General features: G+C 35.4%; 1 long non-coding RNA gene across 2 annotated transcripts; it reads left to right on the top strand.

Moving 5' to 3' along the window:
* Nucleotides 1–3: 3 nt before the first annotated feature.
* On the top strand, nucleotides 4–10,287 carry OTUD6B-AS1 (OTUD6B antisense RNA 1). Of its 2 annotated transcripts, NR_110438.1 has the most exons (3): nucleotides 4–262; nucleotides 371–614; nucleotides 6,447–10,287. It is a non-coding gene; the product is annotated as an OTUD6B antisense RNA 1 (long non-coding RNA). The 2 variants fall into 2 exon arrangements; NR_110439.1 differs by lacking the exon at nucleotides 6,447–10,287 and having other exon boundaries at nucleotides 371–2,282.

The raw sequence follows: 10,287 nt of genomic DNA, 5'->3' as shown, positions 1-10,287 counted from the left end.
ACCGTGACCCTGCCGTGATGGGCGGGGCGGCAGGGGAGGAACCAGACTGCGAGCGGAGAAGCGGAGTTTGCAGCCTCGGAATTGGCTAGAGCGCCAGAGCCGAGTCAGCCATAAAGCTACGCGCTAGGCTCTTGGCCCTGACGTGAGGCGCGCAGAGATGGCGTAACGGGAATAGTTTTCAACGTCTATTTCATTCCCTGCTTCAGAGGACCTCTTTAATCTTTGATTTTGGTCCCTGTTTCTAAGAAAAGCAACTGAAAAGGTAAGAAAGAAAAATAACGCATTTTAATAAAGCCGTCGATAATTATCAATGGGAATCTTTGGGCTGTTTGGGGCTGTGTGGAATTAAATTATGTTTATTGTCTCCAAGGTCGTAATACCGCCCCTGAGAAAAAAGGAGCAGCGCTAAATAATCGAGAAAATGCCTCCTCTTGAAACGGATATAGAGATGGAAACAAGATATAAGAAGGATTGAGAATCATATAATACAGGAGCTTAAACACCTATGCGCGATGATAAAGAGGGTACTATTAGAGCGCTTGGAAAATACCAGGAAGTTGAGAGAGTTAACAGAAGGGCGCACGCTGGATTGGCCACAAAATCGAATTACTGAAGTAAGTGCAAAACGACAAATTGTCACAGAATACAGAGAAAAGGGGAAAAGAAATTAAGAGGAGAAAAAGAGAGATCTAGAGGGCCGGTCCAGGAGATACAATCTATGCATAATAGGAATACCTGAAACTGAGGACAGAGCAAGTGGAGCTGAAACAATAAAGGATCTACTTGAAAAAATTTTCCAGAATTGAAGAACGAACTAGATCTACAAATGGAAAAGGCTCATAGGATACCTTTAAAGTTTAATGAAAAGAAAGCAGCATCTAGACATATCCGGGTGACGTTTTTGAATTTCAAAGACGAAACATTTTACAAGCATCCAGTCAGAGAAAGCAGGTTACTTACAAAGGGGCAAAAGTCAGGCTGACCTCAGATTTTTCTCCTGCAATTCTAAATGCCAGAAGACAGTGGAACAATATCTAGAGTGTTAAGGGAAAATAATTTTGAGCCAAGAATTATATACTCTGCCAAGTTATCATTTCTTTACAAAGGAAACTGGAAGACATTCTTAGATATACAGGGGTTAGGAAAGTATATCAACCAAGAACTTTCCCTGAAAATTTTGCTGAAGGATTTACTGCAGCTAACAGAGAACCTGAATTAAAATAAGAATAGGGAGGCAATTGTATGAAAGAACTGATGGTATGCATTAAAACTAGTTAAGGAGCATTAAGTTTAAATTGTTATGTATAGGGCATTAAAACTAAATACAAAAATAGAAACATAAGCTGGGTGTAAAATTTCAGTTTACGTTTAAACTGGAAGGGCATACCACATGTTCAATATATTGGACAAATACTGTTTTATTTTTAGCATGTAGTATTGTAGATACAAATACGCATGTTCTTAAGCTAAACCTAAGTAAAAGGGCTTTGTCACTGTAGATTTGACAAATAACATTCTAAATGTCAAATCTGACAATTGGAAAACAGTACAGTTTTATTTCCCTTATTTTTAAGTATAGCAGGAAAAAAATAACAAGTTTGTCCATGTTACTACTGATACTGTAAAGAAACTTCCAAATCACTGGTTTGGGAGGGGGTGGATACATCCTCATTTTCTGTACATGATGCATGGGGAAAAACAGTAGTTACTGCATCATATAGTTCCAAGTAAATCATATAGTTCCAAGTAAATTTGACATGGAAATAAGTGTTAACTACAAAAATAGAATATATACATTCCAATGTTTGGAAAAGAAGTGGTAAAAAGAAAAATAGCAAAAAGACACTAAAATTAGCAAAAAGTAGATTGACAGTACAGATGACCTATAAACTGGTTAAATAGCCCTATTACAATTGAAATTGGGTCAAAAATCAATCTCTAACCTGAGATACATTTGTATAAAACAAATGATCAAAGAGTTTAAAGATAATGGAAACTATAAATCATAGAAATGGCAACATTTTTCTTAAAATCTAAACATAAGACATTTTATGTAAAACATACAATATAGGATGTAACATTTAACAAACTATATGGTAAATAATATGACATTAATATATAAAATATATGTTCCAGATCTTGATGTGGGTGATAGTTTTACTTATGTACATCGATATACATCTATTTAAAAACATGTACATTTAAATTGTTGCATTTTATGTATTTAAAATTTATTGAGTAATCCTTCTGTATGTATTATTAAAGAGAATATAGCAAAAAAATATGTTGGACTATGACTTCAACATTTATGATTTCTTTTTTTAGAGACAAGAGGGTCTTGCTTTGTAGCCTAGGGTGGAATGCAGTGGCAACATCATAGCTCACTGCAGTCTCCCAACTCCTAGGCTCAAGTAATCCTCCTGCCTCGGCCTCCCAAAGCACTAAGATTACAAATGTGAGCCACCAACCCAGCGCAGTTACAGCTTTTGATAAATCAAGTAAATGGGAAGTTAAGAGATAAAAGGTAGTTAAATAGTTAAAATATGTGTGTAATATATATATTACTTTTCTACCTTATTTTTGCATTCTCTTCAAATTATCCTGAAGCATTTCTAAATGATTTTATACTCAAATGTAGAGAAAACTTTAACATATTTCTAGAAAGCACTCGTGACCACATTACAAAAAAAAAAAAACCCTAGAAAATAATAATTTTCAACCCTGAAAAATCACACACTTGGAATTTTTTTAATGTTCTTAAATAATCTTTCGGTCAAAGAGGAAATTATAACAAATACTGATGATTTAGGAAATACAACAATGAAGATAATTATACTTTACATGCTATGGGATGGATGTAGAAAAGGCAAGAAACAGGAATTAAAACACTAAGTGAAGAATGGAATATGCATGGGAAGGACTCAGTAACTAAAGTTCTTCAATTTTGCTACCTTTCAAATGAGGAAGTAGTCTGCCTTCATAGTGGATTTATCCCCAATATGTTATGAGACCACAATTTACTTATTTCTCCCAATTGAGCTTTAATGTAGCATAATGAATTCTGAGCATCTGACAATTGATTCTCAAGGAAAGGAAAGCCCAAGTCTCCTTTTTTCTTTCCCCTCCCTGCACTGTTTCCCCTTCACAGACCTCCATATAACAATATTTTAATGTACAACACTTTTATTGAAAAGTATGGCCTTCAGAAAAACAGCATTGGCATTACCTGGAAACTTGTTAGAAATGCAGTATCTCAGGTCAATAGCAGCATAGTATTAGATTATAAAATCTTACATATTTACAAGACTTCTCAGCACAGTGCATTATACATTGTGAATGCTCAGTAAATGCTATCCAGAATATATGTAGAAAAAAATATTTGGATGTTGCCAAAACATTAATAGTACTTATATCTGTGTGGCAGCTTTTTGGATAGTTATTTACTTCTTTATGTTTTTTAACATATATTAAAAAGCTATTTTGCTTTTATAAATTAAACATTTCCGCAGAAATTTTGAAAAGTATATAGATGATGATAAATGTTACCTGTTGTATTAGTACATTCTCATGCTGCTATAAAGAAATACCCAAGACTGGGTAATTTATAAGGAAAAGAGGTTTAATTGACACAGTTCTGCATGGCTGGGAAGGCCTCAGGAAACTTAAAATTATGTCACAAGGTGACAGGAGAGAGAGTGCAAAGCAAAGAGGGGAAAAGCCCCTTATAAAACCATCAGATCTCATGAAAACTCACTCACTATCATGAGAACAGCATGGGGGAACTACCCCCATGGTCTAATCACCTCCCACGAGGTTCTTCCCCCAACACGTGGGCATTACAATTTGAATTACAATGAAGATGAGATTTGGGTGGGGAGAAAGAGCCAGACTGTTTCACCTATGATCCCACCATGTAGAGAGACCCTGAAAACAGTATATTTCCTTCTGGTCAATTAAATTACTATTCAAATTTAGAATAATACTATATATAAATTTCTGCTTCATTCACTTGCAGTTATAGACATTTTGCCAAGTCAATTATTTTTCAAAAACATTTTTAACCGCTGCATATTTTCCCATCACACAAAATAGCTGTCACTTTTTAGCCCTTATCTTGCTTAACTTCTCAGCAATATTTGACACTATTTACTGCAATATTGGCATGATTGACTCTCCCTTCTGTCCACACTTCTACAAAAACCCAATGTGCTCTTCCCACCCAGCTGTCTTAGTTTCCTGTTTAACCTGCTTGATTTCTCTCCATAGCAGTCAACGCCATCTGAGATGTCCTTGTTAAATTGGGTGTTGCCTGTCTCCTCTCTTGGCTTCTATGATACACCCTCTTCCTTTTTATCTCCTTTGGTTCTGGATGCTCCTTATTGACTCTTCTATCTCTTCCTGAAATTTGCTGAGTTCCCTAGGGCTCTGGCCCAGGCTCATTTTCACTCTACATACTTTCTGCCAACTTCATCCCATTCTTCAATTACCACATCTATGTGCCAACTGGACCTTTCTCTCAAGTTCTAGTGTGTATTAAGATTCTCCGGATAAACAGAACTAAAGGAATATAATAGATATGTAAGAGGATATTTATTATGGGAATTGGCTCACACAATTAAGTTGGTTCTCTGGGTTTTTGGTTTGTTTAGTCTTTTGTTCTTTTAAACTAAAATTTATGTGTTTCCAGGATTCTTTTTGAAATCTTAGTACATGACACCACTCTACACCCCAGACAGCCCCGTATATTCTGGATTCATCTCTGATCCCATTTACTCCGAGTCCTAGAGCTTTAGCCATATTTATTTTTTTCTGTGTTTACAAAAATCAGATTTCCTCCTGTCACCAAAGTTTTGCCTAGGTGCTTCCTTGACTTGGGAAAAACATTCCTGAAATTTTGTAAAACTGACTTTTTGTTATTAAGGTCAAAATTTATGTTTCACTTCATCAGAGATGCCTTATGTAGTAACAACCTACATAATGGTATCCACCACATTCATATCATCTATTGCAAGGAACTGTCAATCACTTTGCCTGCTCTATCACTGTCACTTATTACTGTCTGACAGAATCTCCTTTTGGCTTTCTAAAAACAGTTTTACTGAGATATAATTAACATGTAATAAACTACAACCAATCAGCCAATAAGTGGCACTACTGACCTTTTGCTTGCTCATGTTGGGAACCTTAGTGTAATTCTTGACTACTTTTTTTCCCTTACCCTTTAATATCAACAAATAATTAAGTCTTAGTTTCTAAATATGTTTCAAATCAATCCACTCACCTTTAGTTCCACTAGCACCACTCTAAGTCCAAGCCCGAATCATTTCTCACCTGTATTATGAAAACGTGCTTCTCTCCAGTTTATTCTTTATAACACAATAAGAACTTTATAAAATTCAAGTCAACTTAGGAGTTTCAACTTAAGTGGGTTCTCAATAAAATGTATACTTCTTAATATGCTTCTCAAGGCCCATTCCAGTCTCATCGCACACCACACCTGATATAATCTATTTGAGCCTTTCTGGACTTCAGTGCCTTGAACTTCCATACTTTCTTTTCCTCGAGGAATGCAGTGCTTCTGGAAATAGAGCTTTCTTACCACTGGAAATATTTATCCACCGTCACCCCTTGACCGCCCTGTCTAGAATTATTCACAGTTCTTAACCATTCGTTCTCTATTGAAAGCACCCTATTTATTCCCCCTTTTAATACTTTTACTTGCCTTCTATCTGTTTCATGAACTTGAATATAATGAAACATAGAATAACTAGGTCTGTCTCGTTTGCCTTTGGGTCCTCATTACTTAGTATTATGCTTAGCCCATAGAAGCCATTTAATAAACATTTTAATCAAGCATGAACTAGATGACTACTTAGGGATAATAAAGGCAGATAAAAGAACACTTAAAGTCACCTTCAGCCTTAAAATTATACAATTATGGAAGTATTGTCCTATAATTTATGCTCAATATTTTTCAACTGTAGCATCAAACCAGCTCATGGTAATTAGAAGACAAATCTTGTCTCTGTGATGATGTTTTACCCAATGGCAACCTCTGCACTAACTGGATATCAGTAAATGAAAGGAACTATTTTATAGAACTTTATCTTTTGGCCTTTCAATTTTCTAGCCTGTCTCTTAATTTATATTGTATTACACTTTCTTCAAATATTTTCAGTTGCAATATTTTAAAATCTCTGTTTTGTTTTCTATTTTCCCATTTCCAAATTCTTTTTGCTAAGTTATTTTTCTTCTTCTTTCATGATATATTTTTTTCTTTTACTTTTCTCTGAAAACTTACATGGCATCAGGAAAGAATCCTATGTGTGAAACTTAATGGCAAGTTGGTACTCAGTATCCACTGCAACTTTACAGAGTTGAAAGAAGTTTCAAAGATTGGAAAGATAAATAATACATTTTTCATATTCTCTTTTCTGTTATCTCAGGGCCACTACTGATTAGGACACTTATGGAGAACGTGGGTAGCACTGAAGCAGCATTCTAGTTTCCAGTGCCATCAACCTCATACGTATCTACCTGGTCTCTGATCGAAGCTACCGTAATGTGTTCTTGAGGTCAACATGTTTTGTGGAAGTCACTGTATTTGCCCCTTTATGTCAATTACCTATTATAAACCGAGAGAAATGGGAAAATTAAAAACCTGTTTTGAATTATTTTTAATGCAGAACTATTTTTTCAAGTGAAATCTTATACAGAAGTCTGGTATATGAAACAGATAAAAATGAACCAATGAGATTGAAGGGAATGAGTAGCATGTAATCCTGCCCACTCTTCGGAGAATTTGAGGCAACTTTGTAGAGCCTTAGGAGTTCAGTTTGTATGTTACTGGGTAATTTAAAGCAGAAATTTTAATCTGACTGCACTTAAGAATCATCTGAAGTGTTTGTATTGGTTAGTCTTATTTTTAATACTGATGTCCTGGTCTCTCTCCCCTCAAAAAAACTCTGCTGCTGGGACCAAGCACATAGATGCTTTTTAAAAAGCTCCCGAAAATGACTCTAATATGCAGCCAGGATTGAAAATAACTACCCTACACAGCATTTTTCCTGATTCTGAGCACTCAGCTTTTCATTGATTTTCCCTAGGGCAAGTCCTTCATCTTATTCTGGGTCCTTGTGTTTTCTTTCTGAACCTACAATTTCTCCATAGGTCCCATGGTTTTCAAAATTTCTCATTTTCCATTTTCTGTCCTTTTATATTACCTACTTGAAAACCACAGTCATCTTTCAAAACAAAACACTGCCTGTTTCTTAGGTCTTTATTGTGGGCTTGTTATTCCTCAATACAAATTTACATAAAATAATAACAATTAAGACATGGGCCTTGGTGTCAGAATTATTTTATATCTTTCTTATTAACTCTGCAGCTTACCAGCTCTGGATAAGTTAAAGGACAGCTATAGTCTTACTACATAGAATCATTATAAGGAATTGGTGGAGTGATCCTTATAAAGTGTTTGCATGGTACCTAGCACAGAGAAAGTGCTTGAAGTTGTTAACTGTTATGGTTACAAAATATGTAAATAATTTTTATTGTCCAATTTTCTCTCTTCATATACACTAAATTGTTCTAATTCTTGAACCACAGTAACAACGTGTGAATGACTTATGCATTCAGTGTGTCCACTCAACTACTATTTATTAAGTACCTGTTATGGTCTATGAAAGGAACTGGCAAGACAGTCATTATTCCCCTTAAATATTCCCAAGTGTTAGTGGTCAAAGTTTCTCTCTGCTGAAAATGAAAAGTACCCCGTAGGATGGAGGAAACAGCCATCTTGAGGGCTAAATCTGGTCTAACATAATATTTGTTGACCTGTTACTACAGTGTTGCCACATATGCTTTGTTGGTTTTTTAATTTAGCCCCCAAACATTTTAAAAATCAGATCATTTCATGTTAAAAGAAATCTAGACTTCTAGTTCTCTTGCAAATGTGAGCTCTGACAAACATTGAAATTATAGAGTAGCAGGGGTAGTGTGCCCTTTATTTGGTGCATGTCTTCTGCAGGTTCCCAAGTTCTGCTGTTCTCTGTTGTTGCCTCATCACTGAGGCCAAATGTCAGTTGCTGCTTACATGCATTTGAACAGTTGTTATTTTTTATAGTGAAATTAAAGGTAAACTGTTTTGATATCCATGTTTCTACCAAAGGTAAGAAAACACAAGCCAAAAAGACACAGATTTCAAAAAAAATAAGAGAAAGCATAATTCTTTATGGAAGTGAAGAATAGTCTTTTTATCTAAGTATGCCAAAAAAAGCATGTATAAAAAAATACAATTTAAGATGCCATTATGAAAAAACTCCAAGTCAGTGTTTACTAACATCTTTTCAGTTTTAGGAAGGAGGCAGGTTGTCTTGCATCTCATTGGATCTCCGGTACTACCTATTTCTTGAAATACCATAAGTGCTAATATATACTTGCAATAGATAAACATGAGGAGTATTACAAATACAAGAGATAGCAGGAACTATTTTAATATTAAGAGATATCAAATATGCACGCTAGGATTAATAAATGAAATAATTATTTTCCTTCTTCTACAATATTTACTTAATCTGGAGGCAGAAATACATGTTGTCTCTCTTCCTGCTTCTCCATCAAAATCCCGACCAAGTAATCAGGATCTTTGAGAATCACAATAAGAATTACAGCCTCATGTTTGGATTTTTTAAATTTAAATTTTAAATTACTCCTTTCCACTGATATTTATTGAGAAACTGCTATGCTCCAGGTACTGCGATAAACACTGGGCAAATGTTGGAGAGCTAAAAAGGCATATTCCTCTTATAAAGACATTATTTACTTGTAACAAACAAGTAAATAAATGTATTAGTCAATATGTAAGTAAACAAAAAAATGGACAAGCACAAATTATATTAAGTACTATGTAGGAAACCAATAGAGTACTGTAACAGAATAATAAGGTATATGGGATGGGGGTGGGAATCTGTTCAGAGATGATCTACCTGAGAAGGTAACATGTAGGCAGAGATCTGAATCGTGAGGAGTCAGCCTTTCAGAGTAAGTGGAGTAGGCACTTCCAAGAGAAAAGCATATTCCTGGCTATTTGCCTATCAATGTCATCTTGAACAAGGGTTAGCAATCTCCTACCTGTACCACAGATGCTATGTGCCACCTCCATGCTACCTTTGCCACCAAGAGATTCAATGTGATGCATGATTTGAAGGTTCCTCATCCTGATACCCTGTGGAAAGTAAAATCAGTGACAAATAAAAGCAGATCATTATCTCAGGTAGAGTCTGCTAAAGATGATACTTGCTTGTCAGTACATGAGTATCCACCCTAGTAAAAAACCACAGAAGAAGTGGGATTTATCTTCAATGTTCTCTCACTTCCCCTTCCAAGTGCCTCTCCTGCCTTCTGATGCTCTTTCCCACAAGTTGCAGGCAAATAAAGCATGTATATTACTCTCTTTTTATCCAGAGTTGCTCCTTGTCCTTATATGAAGTAGATTCCAGACCTCACAATTGTATATGCCTACCCTTCTACTCCAACCCCTCAAAAAAAGAGGAAGAATGAAAGAATGAACAAGAGAAAAGGAAGGAAGAGAGGGAGAGAGGAAAGGAGGGAAGGATGGTCCTGAAGATCACAGTTCGGTGCTGAAAAAAGCATTTCTATTAAACTTCAAGACAGAATGAATGACCATAGCTAATAATGTACCTTAAGCTTTTCTAGAATCTTTGTATTAAAAAAGTTGATTGTTACTAAATGTATTTTAATCTCATAAAATTTTAGGAATTTAAATGAAGAATTTCACAAAGGGTAAGAAAAATTATATATTATATTTATAAATTTGTCATTATGATTCTCCCATTGTGGAAAAAAAAACAAAATCTCGGTACCCCAATTCACAAAGCCAAAAGGAAGAAAGTAAGCTGAACGCTGAGTCATGCAAGAAACTGCTCGCTTTTGTTCCTAAGCTAATAGCTACAGATAAAAGGTCAGATATCTCCATAGGTAGGTACTCTATGTTCACCTTATGTAAAGTGCCAATTTATTGAGCGTAAGAGGATTACCTAATTGACTATTCCCCAGCCTGCTCCTTTTCTCTTGCAACACATGGAGTCAGCAATGGGACCATATCCTCTCTCTTTCCCCTCCAGCCTGCTTTCCCCCTTTAAATACTGAAGCCCTCAAAATCATCTTTCTAAAAAGGTATGAACCATAGATTGTTCCTGTGGATTTGTGTTTCTTTCTTCCGGGCATATCCTTAAGCTTGGCAAAATAAAATTCTAAATTGATTGA

The sequence above is a fragment of the Homo sapiens genome, chromosome 8 (assembly GCF_000001405.40).
Source record: "Homo sapiens chromosome 8, GRCh38.p14 Primary Assembly".
Taxonomy (NCBI): domain Eukaryota; kingdom Metazoa; phylum Chordata; class Mammalia; order Primates; family Hominidae; genus Homo; species Homo sapiens.
This window is presented reverse-complemented; position numbering and strand designations above follow the sequence as displayed.